This window comes from Homo sapiens, chromosome X (assembly GCF_000001405.40).
Source record: "Homo sapiens chromosome X, GRCh38.p14 Primary Assembly".
NCBI classification, from domain to species: domain Eukaryota; kingdom Metazoa; phylum Chordata; class Mammalia; order Primates; family Hominidae; genus Homo; species Homo sapiens.
Genome location: NC_000023.11, coordinates 72,217,185 through 72,237,617, shown reverse-complemented (window position 1 = coordinate 72,237,617; position 20,433 = coordinate 72,217,185). Strand labels below are relative to the sequence as shown.

Here is a 20,433-nt window from a genome sequence, read left to right as displayed (position 1 = left end):
TATTTTTTTTTTTTCTTTTTTTGATACAGTCTCGCTCTGTCACCCAGGCTGGAGTGCAGTGGCGCGGTCTGGGCTCACAGCAAGCTCCGCCTTCCGGGTTCACGCCATTCTCCTGCCTCAGCCTCCCGAGTAGCTGGGACTACAGGCGCCCGCTAACACACCCGGCTAATTTTTTGTATTTTTGGTAGAGACGGGGTTTCACCGTGTTAGCCGGGATGGTCTCAATCTCCTGACCTCGTGATCCGCCCGCCTCGGCCTCCCAAAGTATTTTTTTTGTGTTTTTAGTAGAGACAGGGTCTCGCCATGTTGCCCAGGCTGGTCTCAAACTCCTGAGTTCAAGCAATCCTCCTGCCTCGGCCTCCCAAAGTGTTGAGATTACAGACGTGGGCCACCATGCCAGGCCTTTCATTTAGATTTTTCCAATTGTTTGCCATTATACTTTTGTTGTAATAGGCAGCCTTTGTGTGAATTTTTGTGCACTTCGTAACTGAGTGTACACTTTGGAATTCCGATTGCTGGGTCTTAGGGAATGTGTATTTAAAATTGCCATTCAAGAAAACCATGCCAGATTTTAATAAAGTCAATAGTGTGAGTAAGCATTTATTTATATTCTCTCAGGCTGGTGTGTGATGAGCTATATGAGTCAATTCAAAAGTTAAGATACATAGTTTTACTTTTGAAGCTAAGACTTGTAGTATTTTCTTCTACAGATACACTTACATGAGTGAGCAAAGATGTGTGTGCGTGTGTATACAGTAAGTCCTCACTTAACATTGTCCATAGGTTCTTGGAAACTGACTTTAAGTGAAATGACGTAGCAAAACCAATTTTTTTCTCATCAGTGTTGCAGCAAAATGATATTGAATGAACCAGTGTCATTCAAGGGCCTGCTGTGTGTCATTTTGCTTAAAGTTGCAGTTGCCAAGAACCTACTGACCACGTTAACTGAGGACTTACTGTACATATAAACATATACCAGAGGTGTGTGCCATGAAGCCCGGCTAATTTTTAAAAGATTTTTGTAGGCTGGGTGCAGTGGCTCATGCCTGTAATCCCAGCACTTTGGGAGGGCGAGGCAGGTGCATCACGAGGTCAGGAGTTCAAGACCAGTCTGGACAACATGGTGAAGCCCCGTCTCTACTAAAAATACAAAAATTAGTCAGATATGGTGGCGGGCACCTGTAATCCCAGCTACTTGGGAGGCTGAGGCAGAATTGCTTCAACCCAGGAGGCGGAGGTTGCAGCGAGCTGAGATGGCGCCACTGCACTCCAGCCTGGGCAACAGAGCAAGACTCCGTCTCAGAAAAAAAAGAAAAAAAAGATTTTTGTAGAGATGAAGTCTCACTGTGTTGCCCAGGCTGGTCTTGAACTCCTAGACTCAAGTGATCCTCCCAACTCAGGCTGCCAAAGCACTGGGATTACAGGTGTGAGCCACCATGCCCAGCAGAATCAGACTTTTTATTACACTTACATTATTACACCACCGTTCAAGCATTCTACTCTCCATCTTCTACCTTACTCCCTCTAGAATACCAATTCCAACAAATGTTTGATATTGTTGGGACCTATAGTTCATTGATTCCATCTTTTCACTGTTGCACACCCCTCAGGTTCTCACTTCTCTCCTTACATAGTTTGAAGTTCAGAGTCAATAATTGTGGAGGCTTCCTTGTATACAACTTTAACTTATTTTTTTTCTCTTTCACACTTAATTATACTGGCTTGGCAAGACCATAGCCTTCGTATGGTAAGCAGAGTAATGGCCTCCCGAGGATATCCACATACTAATTTCTGAACCCTGTGAATATGTTACCCTCATATGGTAGAGAGGAATTAAGGTCACTAACCAGCTGACCCTAAAATAGGGAAATTGGAATATCTGGGTGAGCCCAGTGTAATCACAGGGTGCTTAAAAGTGGAAGAGGGGCTGGGTGTGGTGGCTCACGCCTGTAATCCCAGCACTTGGGGAGGCCAAGGTGGGTGGATCACCTGAGGTCAGGAGTTCGAGACCAGCCTGGCCAACGTGATGAAACCGTTTCTACAAAAATAGAAAAATAAGCTGGACGTGGTGGTACACGCCTGTAATCCCAGCTACCCAGGAGGCTGAGGCAGGAGAATTGCTTGAACCCAGGAGGTGGAGGTTGCAGTGAGCTGAGATCGCACCGTTGCACTCCAGCCTAGGCTACAAAAGTGAAACTCCATCTCCAAAAAAAAAAAAAAAAAAAAAAGTGGAAGAGGGAGGCAGAAGAGGAGGTCATAGTGACTCAGTGTGAGAAGGATTCAACCTATCCTACCTGGCTCGGTAGATGGGGGAAGGGGCTATGAACCAAGGAATGTGTATGGCCTCTGGAAGCTGGAAAAGCAAGAAGCACATTCTCCCCCTAGAGCCTCCAGAAAGGAACACAGCCTTGCTGCAACCTTAATTTTAGCCCAGTGAGACCTGTGTCAGACTTCTAACCTATATAACCTGCAAGATATAACCTGTAAGATAAAAGATAATACTTTGTGTTGTTTTAACATTTGTGATGATTTGTAACGGCAGCAATAGGAAACTAATACATTTTGCTAAATCCAACTCTGGCCCTCTCAGATGAACATGGTTGAAGAAACAATCATGTGACTGGTCTTACTTGAAATCCATCAATATCGATGTCAAGCAGGCCCTTCATGCTGCCTGGCAATCATAGTACATTTCTCTAATGTATTCACTCATCCATTGTACTAGATGCCTGTTTCATGCCTTCTTGCTTTTCAGACCCTCAACATCTCACCCTCATCTCTCTTGCTTCCAATTTCACTGGGTTGATAGAAGCAATCAGAAGACAGTTTCCAGAAGCTTCTTCCATATCAACCTACTTCCCAGCATTATTCCCTCTGTGTTCTTTGCCTTCTGTCCTGTTAGTATGGATGAACTCTCCATGCTTCTAGCTAAGGCACAACCCCTCCATTTGTGCAAAAGATCTCATCCCTTGTCACTCACTGGTATAAGGACTTCAGCCCACCAATTCTTTCATTGTTAAAAAAAAAAATCCTCTCTTGATCCTATTTTCATTTCCAGTTATTGCTCCATTTCTTCTCTTTCCTTTACAGCAAAATTCCAGGTGTCATATCATTGTCTACACTTGTCATTTCCTATTTCTTTTCTCCTAACTTCTGTTGAACTCGTCCCAATCAGGTTTTCACCCCATCACTTTACACAAACTGCTTTTATCAAAGTCACCAATGACATTCATATAACTAAATCCAACAGTCAATTCTCAATCTTCATCTACCTCGACCAGTAGTACTTGACGAAGTTAATCACTTCTCCATGAAACACATGATTCATTAGTCTTCCAAGGAGCCCTTGCTCTCCGGATTTTCTTCTTACTTCACTGACTGCTGCTTCAGATTCTGTTGATATTCCTCCTCATATCTTCTAAGATAATTTAAATCCCCAGATATGACATTTCACGCTGAAATACTTAAGTATATATTCCTTAAAAAGAACATATTCTTTTTTTTTTTTGAGACGGAGTCTTGCTCTGTTGCCCAGGCTGGAGTGCAGTGGCGCAATCTCAGCTCACTGCAACCTCTGCCTCCCAGGTTCAAGTGATTCTCTGCCTCAGCCTCCCAAGTAGCTGGGATTACAGGCACCTGCTACCACGCCAGGCTAATTATTGTATTTTTAGTATGGGGTTTCACCATGTTGGCCAGGCTGGCCTCAAACTCCTGGCCTCAGGTGATTCACCTGCCTCAGCCTCCCAAAGTGCTGGGATTACAGGCATGAGCCCCCTTGCCCGGTCAAAAAAAAAACCATATTCTTACAAAACCACCATGCCATATCACACCTAACAAAATAAATGAATTCATTGATATTATCTAATACATAGTCCATATTCAAATTTTTTTTTTTTGAGACGGAGTCTTGCAGTGTCATCCGGGCTGGAGTGTGGTGGCGCAATCTCGGCTCACTGTAAACTTCGCCTCCTGGGTTCAAGTGATTCTCCTGCCTCAGCCTCCCGAGTAGCTGGGATTACAGGCACCCACCACCATGCCCAGCTAATTTTTTGTATTTTTAGTAGAGACAGGGTTTCACCATGTTGGCCAGGCTGGTCCTGAACTCCTGACCAGTGATTCGCCTGCCTCGGCCTCCCAAAGTGCTGTGATTACAGGCGTGAGCTACCATGCCCAGCCTCAAATTTTTGAATGGTTTATCAGGATCCAAAGAAGGTCTACAACTTCATTTGGGTTTTATGTTTCTTGAACTTCTAATCTAGAACAGTTCTCCCCTCCCCTCCACTTTTATTTCTATGACAATGATTTGAATTAGTGTGATGTCTTCCTTGTAGTGTCATTAGTTTGTTCTGTCTCCTATAATTTAAACTAAAGGCTTGATAAGATTAAGCTTCAATATTTTTGGCATGAATACTTTATAGGGAAGGCTGTGTAGCTATATTGTGTCATATCAGGAAGTATATAACATCTGACTTTCCTACTTTCAATAATGCTATTGAAAGGTTGATCAATGGGTTCAGTGATTACAATCTGATTCCTCCTTTGCAAAGTTGCATTTCCCCCTTATGATGAGGAAGTAATACGTTCAGGATAGCTTAGTATTCTGTGAATATCCAGTTCCCCACCAACCCATCAGGCTTTCAACCATTGATAATTATTGCTCAAATCAGTTTTTTTTTTTAAAGAGATGGGGTCTCCCTATGTTGCCCAGGCTGGTCTTGAACTCCTAGTCTCAAGCGATCCACCTGCCTCAGCCTCCCAAAGTGTCAAATCAGTTATTAGAGATTACAAAGTGGTGATTTTCTTTTCTGAGACGGAGTTTCGCTCTTGTTGCCCAAGCTGGAGTACAATGACGCGATCTCAGCTCACTGCAACCTCCACCTCCCGGGTTCAAGTGATTCTCCTGCCTCAGCCTCCTGAGTAGCTGGGATTACAGGTGGGTGCCACCACACCCGGCTAATTTTTTGTGTTTTTAGTAGAAACGGGGTTTCGTCATGTTAGCCAGGCTGGTCTCCAACTCTTGACTTCAGGTGATCTGCCTGCCTTGGCCTCCCCAAGTGCTGGGATTACAGGCGTGAGCCACCAAGCCTGGCTGCAAAGTCGTGATTTTCTAGTTTCACCGTTCTTTGTGTATTCATTAGCTGGAATTCTATAGATGATCTTAATGTTGGAATGCCATGTCTTTTTTTTTTTTTTTTTTTTTTGAGGCAGGTCTGGCTATGTTGCCCAGGCTGGTCTCGAACTCCTGAGCCCAAGTGATCCACCTGCCTTGGCCTCCCAAAGTGCTGGGATTACAGGCATGAGCCACCATGCCCAGCTGTCTTTTTTTTTTTTTTTTTTTTTTTTTAATACTCCTTCCTTGGGTGATCTTATCCAGGTTCTTGGCTTTAAATCTCATCTCTGTGCTGAGAACTTTCACATTTTTTTAGTAAACCTTTTACTTTGGCATTATTTTATTTTATTTTTAAAGTTTTTGGGTTTATTTATAATTGACACATAATTATACATGTTTATGGAGTACAGTTTTATTTCTGTTTTTTTAGAGACAGGGTCTCGCTCTGTCATCTAGGCTGGAGTGCAGTGGCGCCATCATAGTTCACCGTAATCTTGAACTCCTGGACTCAAACGATCTTTCTGCCTTGGCTTCCAAATGTGCTGGGATTACAGGCATGAGCCATTGCACTTGACCAGTTTTATTTTTGACCAACAATAATTGTATATATTTGTGGGGTACAATGTGATGTTTCAATGCACGTATACATTGTGAAATGATCAAATCAGGCTAATTAACATATCCATCACCTCAAATACTTATCATTTCTTTGTGGTGAAAAAATTTAAAATCCATTCTTCAGCCTGACCAACATGGCGAAACTCTGTCTCTACTAAAAATACAAAAATTAGTTGTGTGTGGTGGTACGCATCTGTAGTCCCAGCTACTCGGGAGGCAGAGGCAGGAGAATCCTATGAACCCAGGAGGCGGAGGCTGCAGTAACCTGAGATCATGGCACACTGCACTCCAGGCTGGGTGACAGAGGGAGACCCTGTCTCAAAAAAAAAAAAGTTCATTCTTTTAGCTATTTTGAAATATATGATTCATTATTATTAATAATAGTCACCATGATGTGCAGTAGATCACTAGAACCTATTCCTCCTGTTTAACTGAAACTTTGTACCATTGACTAACATTTCTCCTTTCCCCATCTACCCCTATCCCCCCAGCCTCTGGTAACTACTGTTCTACTCTCTACTTCTTTTCTAGATTCCATGTATAAGCGAGATCATGGAGTATTTGTCTCTCCGTGCCTGGTTTATTTCACCTAGCAAAATGTCTTTTAGGTTCATTCATGTTGCAAATCAGAATTTCCTGCCTTTTAACGGCTGAATAATTTTTCATTGTGTGTATATACCACATTTTAAAAATCCATTCATCCTGTTGATGGTGACTTTGGTTGTTTCCTTTTCTTGGCTACTATGAATAATGCTGCAGTGAACACGGGAGTGCAGGTATCTCTTCAATATACTGATTTCAGGTCCTTTGGAAGTACCCAGAAGTGAGATTGCTGGATCATATGGTAACTTTATTTTTAGTTTTTTGAGGAACCTCTGCACTGTTTTCCAGAATGGCCATACTTATGTATGTATTTATTTATTTAGAGACAGGGTCTCCCTCTGTCACCCAGGCTGGAGTGCAGTGGCACGATCTCGGCTCACTGAAGCTTGGGGCTCCTGAGCTCAAGCAGTCCTCCCACCTCAGCCCCCCAAGTAGCTGGGATCACAGGTGCACACCACCATGCCTGGCTAATTTTTTGTATTTTTGGTAGAGATGGGGTTTTGCCATGTTGCCCAGGCTGGTTTTAAACTCCTGAGCTCAAGCGATCTGCCCACCCTAGGCCTCCCAAAGTGCTGGGATTACAGGCGTGAAGCACCATGCCCAGCCCAGAATGTCCATGCTAATTTATAATAGTACCAACAGTATACAAGCGTTCCCTTTTCTCCACATCCTTGCCAACACTTGTAAGAGTTAAAGAAAGAGGAAAGAAACAAAATGCAGCTCAACAGTTAAAGGCAGGTTTACTTCAGATAAAACCTGAGAGGGGCTTCTGGCCGATTTTTGGTCAGGAGTGCTTTCTCTTACAGACTAAGAGTATATATTGGTTTTAGGGTGAGGGGGCTTATCACAAGCTTGGAATGTTTCTGTGTGAGGGAGAGGTTTTATGGCAGGGTTGGAATGTCTCTGGGAGGAGAGGAGGTTATCTTGGGGCAGACATCTTTCCAGCCAAGGCGGGTTATCTCAAGGCTGCCATCTTCCTGGCCAGAGGGGGGTTATCTTGGGGCTAGCATGTCTCTGGTTGGGGAGGAGTTTGGAATTGTGGGATATGATGAGGTTGCTCTTCAAATAGCCTGATCAATCCTTTATTCTTAATTTTTTTTTTTATTTTTTTTGAGTCGGAGTCTTGCTCTGTCTCCCAGAGCAGAGTGCAGTGGCGCAATCTCGGCTCACTGCAAGCTCCTCCTCCCGGGTTCATGCCATTCTCCTGCCTCAGCCTCCCAAGTAGCTGGGACTACAGGCGCCCACCACCACGCCCAGCCAATTTTTTGTATTTTTAGTAGAGATGGGATTTCACCGTGTTAGCCAGGATGGTCTCTATCTCCTGCCTCGGCCTCCCAAAGTGCTGGGATTACAGGCGTGAGCCACCGTGCCTGGCCAAGGTCTTGGACTTTTATAAGGCTTGGGGCTGTGTCTTCTAATGAGTTCTGTAGTTCTGTTGAAACAGCCTTAAAGTATGTTATGGAAGTGGCTAATCTGCTTGCTCTCAATCCAAGTCCAGAGGTTATACCCAAGGTGGCTATTAAGGGAATGACATGGATGGCCCTTCCTTTTCTAACATATTGGATGGGTGGGATGGGCAAAGGTCGATCAGGAGGAACAAGTCCAATGGAGGGAGATAGATAAACTAGGGTACAGGTTCCAGTCCAGTTGGTAGGGAGACAAAGGTATGTGTTGGTGCCACACAAAAAGAACAGGCCTTTGTCGTGTATACAGGCAGAGATATGGAAAGACAGTAGGTGAACTAAACATGGGGTGTTTTTTCTTTCCTGTGGTTCATTACTCCAAATGGACAAGGAGGAGGCCAGGGAGACACCTACTATAGTAGAAATATAGGAAGAGTTACTTTTTACACATTTAATGCAATAGGATGTTGCACCATTGATATTGAGCCATGGAAAAAGGTGGGCACCAGGCACAGCACAAGTTAGGCCATAGGCATTGGCTGAGAGAGAGGCTGTCAAACGAGCCAGTTGCGGAAATGCTCCATTTGCTTCAGGTGATACTGGGTAGTTAACTCGGTTAGTTTGATGGTCAGAGGGGTGTTTAATAATGATAGTACGGTTGCGTTGGTTAGGTGTTAAGGATCCTACAGGGAGATTTCCTTCAGAGGCTGAAAAGCAAAGTGAAGCTTGTTGTAAAAGGGGGGTGTGTTTAGTTATAGGCCCTTTAATGGGAGAGTCTTGAGGCTTGAGGCGTTGCAGGGAGTTGTAATAGGTTTGAAATAATTTGTTAGCCTGATTGGCCCTGGAAGTAGGATAATTGCCGACCAGGGTGTCAGCTCTTTCAAGAAAGGAAGCTCCCTTTTGGAGTGTATAAATTAGGGTTATGCTCCCTGCTAAAAGGTCATGAAGGGATGCAGGAAGGGCTGTGTAGGCTGAGGAAGACAGCGATAAGCACATCCAGCATTCAGGAGCAAAGGAAGAGTTAGTTCGCAGCAAGAGGGATTGTGTAAGGTTTATAGTTCGAGCTTGAGAGCAGTGAGAAGTGGTTGTATTGGTGAGGTTGATGTACTTAGGGTATTTGTATTGAAAAAAAAACAAGCAAAAAGCGAAAAAGGTTATTTGGGTAAGAGTAAAGTCCTGGAAAGTTCCTTGAAGCCATAGGTCCCATAGAACAGTAAAGAGCTGATCAGGATATATAATGGGAGTTTCGTAAGGGTACCGCTGAAGGACTGTAACAAGGTTGATTAGGAAGCAGTGAAAGTTTGGGAGAGAAAGAGACATAAGTGGTTTAGGTGAATTTCTCTTCCTTTTCTTCCAAGATTCGGGTGAGGCAAAGGGAAGTGGGTCCTGTGGAGACACAAGAGAAGGCTGAAGGGGTTTTGGATTTGGTTGTTTGGGTATGTGGCAAAGGGAAGTCTGTTTTCTTGAGAGAAGTATAATGAAACCAGTTGGGGAGTCCCTGGAGTTTTGCTGCTGTGGGTATGGTAAGAATGATTTGGTAAGGTCCCTTTGTTAGAAATGTTTGTTCCCTGGTGCCATAAAGAAATAGCACTTGAACATAAAATTAATTTCCTCAGCAAGGCCATTTTTACTTTCTGCAGAAAGAGCACCCTCGCCAGCAGTTTTGCCATGAGAGTACACCGAACAAAGGAGACAGGGTCATTTATAAACTGACGCTTCCACCCTACTGCTGTGTCCAGTTTCCATTGGCTGGAACGGGACCTCACATTCTGTATTTGTCCCGATTGGCTAGCAACTTAGAACTTTTTAAAAGAGGCAAAGACAGAGGAGAACAAAGGAAGGAGGAAGTAACTTGTGGAATGCTGAGAAAGGTAAAAACACCTTCAAATAAGGAAGAGGAACAGGCTATGACCTAATGTTTGCTTGGACTAGTATAAGCATGCCAGGGCAAATATTTAGGCTAAATTGTAGGAGCTAAGAACATAAAGTACATTGATTTCTTTATTACGGCTGGCCGATATTTAAGGATGTTAGCACAGGTCTTTGAATAAATTTTGCTTCTAAGAGAAGTTACTATTTATTCCTAATTAGGTGGGGAGGAAAGTCTTTGAAGAGGAACCTCTACTTTACTTTTTACACCTTCCATTTAGGTGTGAGGGGGGAATTGGGGGTAGGACTGGGATCTTTTATGAGAACCCAGTCTTCTGGCTATAGGAAGGGATTAGAGGAGTCAGTGATGGGTTGTGGCAGGTATTTGTCAGCATATTCCCAAATGAAATGGCGGATAATATACAGAAGAGGGGAAACAAGGGGAGTTGGTAGAGGTGGTGTTTGACCCTGAGGTGGAACAAAAGGGGCCAGTGGTTTCCCATACATGAGTTCAAAGGGGCTGAGCATTAAGGGTTTATGTGGGAATGCCCAAATTTTTAGAAGGGCCAAAGGCAAAAGTGTAACCCAGTCTTTAAGAGTTTGGAGTGAGTACCTGGTGAGGGTGGTTTTTAGAATGCCATTCATTTTTCCAACCTTTCCTGAAGATTGAGGTCGATAGAGGATATATAGCTTCCAGGTGATATGTAGAGCTGGTGCAAGTGTTGAGTAATTTGAGAGATGAATTCAGGACCATTGTCGGATTGAAAAGAAAGAGGCACCCTGAACCTGGGTATGATTTCCATTATTAATTTGGAGGTGACAGTAGAAGCCCATTTGTTGGTTGTGGGAAAAGCCTCGACCCATCCTGAAAAGGTATTGATGAGAACTGGAAGAAACCGAACCTTTTTAACTGGGGGCATATGGGTAAAATCAATTTGCCAGTCCTGTCCTGGAAGGTGTCCCCTGGCTTGATGGGTTGGGAAAGAAAGGGATTTAGTGTTGGAGTAGGGTGAAGCCTTTTGGCAAGTAGAACATTGATGGGAAATGGCCTTTAGCTGTTCCTTTATATCTGGGGTTATGTGTATATGGGAGCTTAAGAAATGTTGTCAAGGGGAATGGCTAGTATGGAAGAGGTTGTGAATGTCCTATAAAAGAGCAGTTTCTTCAGGGTCAGATGGGACTAATTTGTTTTGTACAAAGCAGTATGGGGGTTTGACTTGTGCCCCCGCTGTGATTAGTTGCTGTATTTGGTGTTCTGGATAAAAGGAGGGGATATGTTGTATGAGGCTTAATAGGTATTGGGGGATTGGATGGTTGGTTGAGGCTTGTTTTGCCCAATACTCAGCCTCACGGTTTCCTATTGGAATGTGGTTTTTATCTGATTGATGTCCTTTGCAATGGATAACTGCAACCTTTTCTGGAAGTAAAGCTGCCTTTAGTAAGTGATGAGTTTTCCATTAATGATAGGAAATCCCTTAGCCGTGACATAGCCCCGCTCGCTCCAAATTTGGGCATTGGAATGGATGGTGTTATAGGCATATTTAGAATCGGTGTATATGTTAACTTGTGTACTTTTTGCTAGGGTTAGTGCTCTTATTAGGGCAAATAAATCTGCTTGTTGGGAGGATATGCCCAAAGGCAAGGGGGCAGCCTCTACGACTCTTCTAGGTGGGTATCATCATGATATCCCTCAATGATAGCATACCCTGCTTGGAGGGAAGGGTTTTCTGATGCACTGCCATCTATAAACCAATCTGGGGCTTGCTTTATGTGAGTGGAAGTAAGGGGGTAGAACATGGTGAGAGAACTTTCAATTAAATTCAAGCATGAGTGTTGGTCAGTGTCTAAAATTGGTCCTGAAGGCAAAAGAGTGGCAGGATTAAGGGGGGAGCATCTATGAAGAGAGATAGAGTGTTGAAGGAGAGGTGAATGTAAGGCCTGCATGCAGGAGGATGAGATGGAGCTTAGCGCCTTATGGCTGAGTATATTTTGCAGACTGTGAAAAGAAAATACCTGAAGGGGTTTGTAGAATGTGAGTTTTTGTGCCTCAGGGATAATTAGAGGGGCTGTGACCAAAATTTTTAAGCAAAGGGGCCAACCTTTGTAAATGGGGTCTAGTTGTTTTGAAAAATATGTTACCAGTTGGAGGGAGTCTCCCATGGGTTGGGCTAATAGTCCAAGGGCCTGATTATGAGAACTGTGTAAATATAGACGAAAGGATCTCAGGGGGTTTGGAAGGCCTAGAGCAGGGGCCTGTAATAAGGCACGTTTTTGGTGAGAGAAAGCATGATAAAGGGCTGGAGTGGGAGTGAGTGGTTGGTCAAGATTGCCTTTTGTGTGTTCATAAAGGGGTTTAGTGATAATGGCAAAATTTGCTATCCATAATCAGAAATATCCCACTAATCCGAGGAAAGAAAGTAAGTCCCTTTTTGTTTTAGGAAAAGGGATTTGTTGAATGCTTTGCTTTCATGCTGGCAGAATTTCTCAAGTATTTGGAGTTATCATTAATCCTAGGTATGAGACTTTTGGAGAGGTTAATTGGGCCTTCTTTTTGGACACCTGGTACCTGCATTCAGACAAAAAATGTAAAAGCCTGGTGGTGTGTTGAATACAATGTTCTAGAGAGGGGCTGCAAAGAAGTAAATCATCCATGTACTGAAGCAAGATGCTAGGTTGTAGATGTAGCTGGGAGAGGTCTAATTGAAGTGCCTGACCGAAATAGTGAGGGCTGTCCCTAAACCCCTGGGGGAGGACAGTCCAGGTAAGTTGTTGGGAGTAGCCTATGTCAGGGTCGGTCTAAGTGAAAGCAAAAAGGTTTTGAGAGGAGGGATGTAGAGGAATAGTAAAAAAAGCATCTTTGAGGTCCAATACTGAGAAATGGCTAGTGTTGGGAGGAATTTGCAATAGGAGGGTGTAGGGGTTTGGGAACAATAGGATAAACAGGAACAACAGTGGAGTTGATTTATCACAAATCCTGAACCAGTCTATAGGAGCCATCTGGTTTTTTGATTGGGAGAATAGGAGTATTATGGGGAGAATGGGTGGGGATTAAAATATTGGCAGCCAAAAGTCAGTAGATGATGGGCTTGAGTCCCTGTAATCCATTAGGGTTGAGGTGATATTGTGGGACCACTGTGTAGCGCTTAGGATCCTTTAGTGAGATTTGAATTAGAGAATGGTGGGTAGCTATTATGGGGGAGTCAGTGTTCCATACTATAGGATTTACCTGGCTGAGGGATTTGGGTGTTTTTTGTTTGTTTGTTTGTTTTGAGACAGAGTTTTGCTCTTGTTGCCCAGGCTGGAGTACAATGGCGTGATCTTGGCTTGCTGCAACCTCCACCTCCCGGATTCAAGCAATTCTCTTGCCTCAGCCTCCGAGTAGCTGGGATTATAGGCATGCACCACCACGCCCAGTTAATTTTGCATTTTTAGTAGAGACAGGGTTTCTCCATGTTGGTCAGGCTGGTCTCAAGCTCCCAAACTCAGGTGATCCGCCTGCCTCGGCCTCCCAAAGTGCTGTGATTACAGGCGTGAGCCAGGAATTTGGGTTTTAAGTCTATTTGATGTGGAGTGTCTGAGGAGGGGTTTTTTTCTTGACATAATAATAAGTAAGGGTGGCTTTGATGTAGGGCCGATGAATGAATGATTCCCCCTAGTTTGTGTAGGATGTCCCTTCCTAGTAAAGGAGTGGGACAATGAGGAATGACCAAGAAAGAGTGAGTGAGAGTGACTCCCTGAAATGAGCAGTATAGAGGCAGTGTTTTGTATGGAAGTTCTTGTATGTCCTTCATGCCAACAACAGAAAATTATGAACATTCTAGTGGGCCTTGATATTCAGTTAATACTGATAGGCTCGCCCCAGTATCCAGGAGAAAGGAAATAATCTTACTGGATACCGTCCCAATTACCCTGGGTTCCATGGACTCACTGGATGTGGGGGTGAAGGATTCCAGGCACCCTCAGTCTTCCGTTGTCAGTACCAGCAGTGAAGATATTTCCTCCTGTGATGGTCAGGGGGCCTCACAGGGCTACACTTGAACAGGGAGGGTGTATCCATTGGGCACAGTCCATTTTCCAGTGTCCCCAAAGACCACAAGTTGGGCACGGTTTGGTAGGGGGCCAGGGGCTAGGACAAGCCTTTGCCCAGTGTCCAGGGTTGCCACATTGGAACCCTGATGTGGCACTTCAGGGTGACACTTCCAGAGAGGTGACGGAGTTTCCCTTGGGGTTGTCTGGAGGCTTTTGTGTAACTGACCTTTGGACAGCAGAGGTGAGCATCTGGTATTTTAACCAGACATGTTTGTCTTTTTGAATTTTTTGTTCCTTGTCTCTGTTGTTAAAGACACGGAAGGCCTTCCAGCACTTTGGGAGGCCAAGGCGGGTGGATCACCTGAGGTCAGGAGTTTGAGACCAGCCTGACCAACATGGCGAAACCCCGTCTCTACTAAAAATACAAAATTAGCTGGGTGGGGTGGCGCATGCCTGTAATCCCAGCTACTCGGGAGGCTGAGGCAGGAGAATCGCTTGAACCTGGGAGGCAGAAGTTGCAGTGAGCCAAGATCACGCCATTGCACTCCAGCCTGGGCAACAAGAGCAAAACTGTCTCCAAAGGCCGCATTTAGGAGGTCCTGCTGAGATGTTTGGGGACCTTCCTCTAATTTTTTTTTTTTTTTTAAGACAGAGTTTCACTCTTTTTGCCCAGGCTGGAGTGCAATGGCGTGATCTCAGCTCACCGCAACCTCCGCCTCCCAGGTTCAAGTGATTCTCCTGCTTCAGCCTCCCAAGTAGCTGGGATTACAGGCGCCTGCCACCATGCCCGGCTAATTTTTTTTTTGTATTTTTAGTAGAGACGGGGTTTCACCATGTTGGCCAGGGTGGTCTCGATCTCTTGACCTCGTGATCCGCCTGCCTCGGCCTCCAAAAGTGCTGGGATTACAGGCGTGAGCCACTGCACCCGGCTGACCTTCCTCTAATTTTTGTAATATTTTCTGGATATCTGGGGCAGATTGGGAAATAAATTGGAAGTGGAGAAAAGTTTGCCCTTCTCTAGATTCTGGATCCAGATTGGTATATTTTAGCATGGCTTCAGTGAGATGTGATAAGAAAAGGGCAGGATTCAGGCCGGGCGCAGTGGCTCATGCCTGTAATCCCAGCACTTTGGGAGGCCGAGGCGGGTGGATCACGAGGTCAGGAGTTCGAGATCAGCCTGACCAACATGATGAAACCCTGTCTCTACTAAAAATACAAAAATTAGCTGGGCGTGGTGACACGCGCCTGTAATCCCAGCTACTCAGGAGGCTGAGGCAGGAGAATCGCTTGAACCTGGGAGGCGGAGGTTGCAGTGAGCTGAGATCGCGCTACTGCGTTCCAACCTGGGCAACAGAGTGAGACTCCATCTAAAAAAAAAAAAAAAAAAAAAGGCTGGATTCTCCTGGGGCTCCTTTGTAATTTCTCTGAGTTTTTCATAATTAACTGCCTTATGGGCATTTTTGTTCATGCCCGTGAGGAGACAGGTAATCATGTGGTTCTGTCGCCTGATGCCATTGTTTCCCTGTTGGTAAGTCCAGTCTGTGTCTCTATGGGGGACTGCATCATTGGCCACTGGATTTTATATAGGGGCTTGGTTATGGAGTTCATCTGCATGGGCTTCAGCTGAACACCAGATGCTCTCCTTTTCATCAGGAGTGAGGGTGGAGGTTAAAATTATATAAATATCATGCCAAGTTAAATTAAAGGATTGGGTTACGTGCAGGAATTCCCTGCGATAGTGATAGGGATTGTCAGAGAAGGATCCTAGCTGCCGTTTGATTTGTGACAAATCAGACTTGGAGAAAGGGATGTGAATACGAGCAATGCCTTCAACCCCAGCCACTTCCCGGAGAGGGAGAATGGCTGGGGTGGTTTGACTGGTGGCTTTTGAACGGGTAACAGGTGGAGAAGGAGGAGGAGTGGGGTTTGGGGCTGGAGGCTTGAGGGCAGGAGGGCCCCCTGGGGTGGAGGGTTTGGAAGGATGAGGAGCAGAACCAGGGGGATGGGAATACGAAGGGGGTTCATCTGCAGGGTCAAAAGGGGTTTCAGAGGAAGGGGTTTCGAGGGAAGGGGTTTTGGAGGAAGGGTTTTCGCGGGAAGGGATCTCAGAGGAAAGGTTTTTGGAGGAGGGAGAGACCCAGACAGCATTTTCATTGAGAAGAAGGACTTCATGAGGGGTGCAAGCTTGACATAGGGAGGGTTGGGAGCTAAGGTAGAAGAAAGCCTGAATGTAGAGAACCTCTTGCCATTTGCCATTCCTGGTTATAAAGTTGTCGAGGTCCCTAAGAATTTGCAAGTAAAAGGTGACATTTTCCAACCATCGGCTGTCATTATCTAATGTGTATTGCAGCCAGACCATGTTGCAATAAAAGACTAAATGCTTTGGCTTTATGCTTCCCGGTAAGCCAAGTTTGGTGAGGTTGTGAAGGAGGCAGCCCAGTGGGGAGGATGTAGGAATGTGGGATTGTTTGGCACCCATGTGGACTGGTGAGAAGAAGCCGAGGGTGTCTGTTTTTGTTCTAGGCATCCCCAGATGAAAGACAGAGACCCGGCGTCCTCTTTCTAAAGAGGATGGTCAAGCTGAGATGAAAACTGGGCATCCCCAAGATTTCTTCTAGCTTTTTAGTCCTGCTGGTCCTCTGAGGACCGGGATGGCAGACCTAACTTTTCCTGGTACCGTGAGAAAGCCAGAGGAGGGCAGATCTTAGCAGTTGGCTGGATTAGTGTCCAATGTTGGATGTTCCAGTTGGAATTGGCAAAGGGCCCCTTAAACCAGAGCCACATGAGGAAGAGAGAAAGAGAGAAGGGAGGAGGAGGGGAGAGGGCAAAATACCCATTGTGGGAAGTTGGAGGTGGATTCCCAAGATCTGAAGGTTTAAAGACTTGTTGGGGAGTAGCCCCGGCCAGAGCCTTGCAGTCCCCTTCAGGTTAGTTGTCCTCATGCAAATCGCTCCAAAAATGAAGTGAGAGAAAAGACGGGGCAGGTGACCAGAGACCCTCAGGATCCAGGAATTAACTTATGATGAGCTGCCGTTGCCCACTGCTTCCTGGGTTGCAAGAGAGCCTCTGCCCCCAGCACCTGTTCCAGATTTCGGCACCAAATATAAGAGTTAAAGAAAGAGAAAAGAAACACAAATGCTTGACAGTTAGAGGCAGGTTTACTTTAGATAAAACCTGAGAGGGGTTTCTGGCCAATTTTGGTCAGGAGTGCTTTCTCTTACAGACTAACAGTATATATTGGTTTTAGGGTGAGGGGGCTTATCACAAGCTTAGAATGTTTCTGTGTGAGGGAGAAGTTTTATGGCGGGGTTGGAATCTCTCTGGGAGGAGGGGAGGTTATCTTGGGGCAGACATCTTTCTGGCCAGAGGGGTGTTATCTCAAGGCTGGCATCCTCCTGGCCAGAGGGGGGTTATCTTGGGGCTAGCATGTCTCTGGTCAGGGAGGAGTTTGGAATGTTTCTGGTTGGAGATGTTAATTGTGGTTTATGGTCATGCTGACCTTAGCCATTAGGCTGATGCCCTTTAGATTTAGGTGGTTTTTTATTAAGGTGAACTTTAGAATGTGGGGCTTGTCCAAGATGCCGATGCTCCCGCTGAATGAGGGGCCTGTCCAAGATGCCGATGCTCCTGCTCTGTCAACACTTATCTTTCATCTTTTTGATAATAGAAAGTCTAACAGGAATGAGGTGATATTTCAATGTGGTTTTAATTTGCATTTCTTTGATGATTATTACATTTTTTATCTTTAGTCCTGACCTCTTGAACTCCATACTCCTATATGTGATTGCTTGGTTGACATCTCTGCTTGATAATAGACATATCAGATTTAACATGCCTAAAAACTAAAGGACAAAAAACACATTTCTTACCTCAATAGGTGCAGAAAAAAACATTTGACAAAATCCAGCACCTTTTCGTGATACAAAAACACTCAACAAACTAGGAATAAAAGGTAACTTCCTTAACCTGATCAAGGGTATCTACAAAAATCCCATAGCTAACATTGTACTTAATGGTGAAAGACTAAAGGCTTTTCCCGCTCATATCAGGAACAAGGCAAGGATGTTTGTCTGCTCTTGCGACTTCTCTTCACATTATAATTCAACATTATAGTGGAGGTTCTTTTTTTTTTTTTTTTGAGACGGAGTCTCACTGTGTCGCCAGGCTGGAGTGCAGTGGCGCAACCTTGACTCGCTGCAATCTCTGCCTCCCGGGTTCAAGTGATTCTCCTGCCTCAGCCTCCTGAGTAGCTGGGATGACAGGCGTGCACCACCACGCCCGCTAATTTTTTTGTATTTTTAGTAGAGGCGGGGCTTCTTCATGTTGGTCAGGCTGGTTTCGAACTCCTGACCTCAAGTGATCTGCCCGCCTTGGCCTCCCAAAGTGCTGGGATTACAGGCATGAGCTATCACGCCTAGTCTATTTATTTATATTTTTTGAGGCAGAGTCTGTTGTCCAGGCTGGAGTGCAATGGCGCAATCTCGGCTTACTGCAACCTCCATCTCCCAGGTTCAAGCGATTCTCCTGCCTCTGCCTCCTGAGTAGCTGGGATTTCAGGCGCAGGCCACCACGCCCGGCTAATTTTTGTATTTTTAGTAGAGATGGGGTTTCACCATGTTGGCCAGGCTGGTCTCAAACTCCTGACCTCAGGTGATCCTCCCGCCTTGGCCTCACAAAGTACTGGGATTACAGGCATGAGCCACCGCACCTGGCCTTATTTATTTATTTCTGGGACAGGGTCTCATTCTGTTTCCCAGGCTGGAGTGCAATGGCGCGATCTCTGCTCTCTGCAACCTCCACCTCCTGGGTTCAAGCGATTCTCCTGCCTCAGTCTCCCAAGTAGCTGGGATTACAGGTGCCCACCACCACACCCAGCTAATTTTTGTATTTTTAGTAGGGACGGGGTTTCACTGCGTTGGCCAGGCAGGTCTCGAACTCCTGACCTCAGGTGGTCCGCCCACCTCAGCCTCCTAAAGTGCTGGGATCACAGGCGTGGGCCACTGTGCCCAGCCAAAACAATTCCATTTACAATAGCAACAAAAATAAATGCTTAGGAGTAAATTTATACGAGGAGGTGCAACACTTAGATACTGAAAACTATAAAACATTGTTGAAAGAAATTTAAGAAGGCCTAAATAAAAGAAAGATATCCTGTGTTTATGGATTGAAAGATGTAATATCTTTAAAATGGCAATACTTCCCAAAGTGTTCTACAGATTCTAATGCCACATCTAAGAAAATCTCAGCTGGCTTTTTTGTAGAAATTGATGAGCTACCAGCCCGGCCAACATGGTGAAACCCCGTCTCTAGTAAAAATACAGAAATTAGCCAGGTGAGGGTGGTGCACGCCTATAATCCCAGCTGCTCGGGAGGTTGAGGCAGGACAGTCGCTTGAACCTGGGAGGCAGAGGTTGCAGTGAACCAAGACCGTGCCACTGCACTCCAGCCTGGGTGACAGAGCGAGACTCTTGTTTCCAAAAAAAAAAAAAAGAGAAAGAAATTGACAAACTATTATAAAAGCCATATAGAAATACAGGGGACCCAGAATAGCCAAAACAATCTTGAAAAAGAGTAGTTTAGCCGACCGTGGTGCCTCACATCTGTAATCCCAGCTACTCAGGTGACTGAGACAGGAGGATCACTTAAGGCCAGTTTGAGACCAGCCTGGGCAACATGGCAATACCCCATCTCTATTATTAATTTTTTTTTTTTTTTTGAGACAGAGTCTCGCTCTGTCGCCCAGGCTGGAGTGCAGTGGTGCGATCTTGACTCACTGCAAGCTCCGCCTCCCAGGTTCCCACCATTCTCCTGCCTCAGCCTCCTGAGTAGCTGGGACTACAGGCGCCCACCACCATGCCCAGCTAATTTTTTGTATTTTTAGTAGAGACAGGGTTTCACCGTGTTAGTCAGGATGGTCTCGATCTCCTGACCTCCTGATCCGCCTGCCTTGGCCTTCCAAAGTGCTGGGATTACAGGCATGAGCCACCGCGCCCGGCCCCCATCTCTATTATTTAAAGAAAATTTTTAAAGGAACAAAGTTAGAGGACTCATAGTTCCCAAATTCAAAACTTACGACAAAGCTACAGTAGTCAAGACAGTGTGGTACTTGCATAAGTATAGATATAGATCAATGGAATAGAAGCAAGAGTTCTACACTGTTCTTTCCTGGAACAGCATGGAGTGCCCATATTTCAGGCACTTGCTTATGTGTAGGGAATAATGGTTGCTGTTGTATTTTGTTCTTTTTGTGTTTTTTTTTATTTTTTTTTCTGCTCAGTAAGCTTTCATGTCCACCTTCTGGTAATGGTCTTATCCCCTGGCCACTAGGGTGGGCAAGTAACATTCTTTAAAACTTTTATTGTGAAATATAAGATATGTATATTTCACAATATATGCATAAATAAAATGTATAAAACATGAATATTCAATTTAATGGTGGCCTGGGCCTCTTAGGATAGGAGCCTACACAAGTTTTGGTTTGGGGCTTGACACTGTCAGCTCCGTACTCTATTTCACCTACAAGAGCAATCACTGAAAAAAGCGTAAGGCTTTCTGTAATATTTATTATCTGGTTATTGGCTTTGGATTCCTCAGACAAGAACTATTTGGACCAAACTATATGGCTCAAAAGAGACCCAAGGTTCTTCTTGCTCTTTTAGGTCCTTTATACCCTGTCATAAAGAGAATACAAGCAGGCAGGAAGAGCAAAGCTGATTTCAAAGTGAGTAAAAGCAGGCAGGGTTGTTGAACTCCTCCTTTGTAATCAGACCTGAACATTTTAGTGCTGCTTTTGGTTGAACT

At 44.9% G+C, this 20,433-nt stretch overlaps 2 protein-coding genes across 3 annotated transcripts in view; one reads left to right on the top strand and one right to left on the bottom strand.

Annotated features, from left to right (window-relative positions):
- The window catches only part of PIN4 (peptidylprolyl cis/trans isomerase, NIMA-interacting 4), an 82,289-nt gene that overhangs the window by 26,347 nt on the left and 35,509 nt on the right, over positions 1-20,433 (bottom strand). The window lies entirely within an intron of this gene.
- ERCC6L (ERCC excision repair 6 like, spindle assembly checkpoint helicase) overlaps positions 1-20,433 on the top strand; it is a 34,363-nt gene that overhangs the window by 1,410 nt on the left and 12,520 nt on the right. The gene's annotated exons all lie outside the window — the stretch shown is intronic.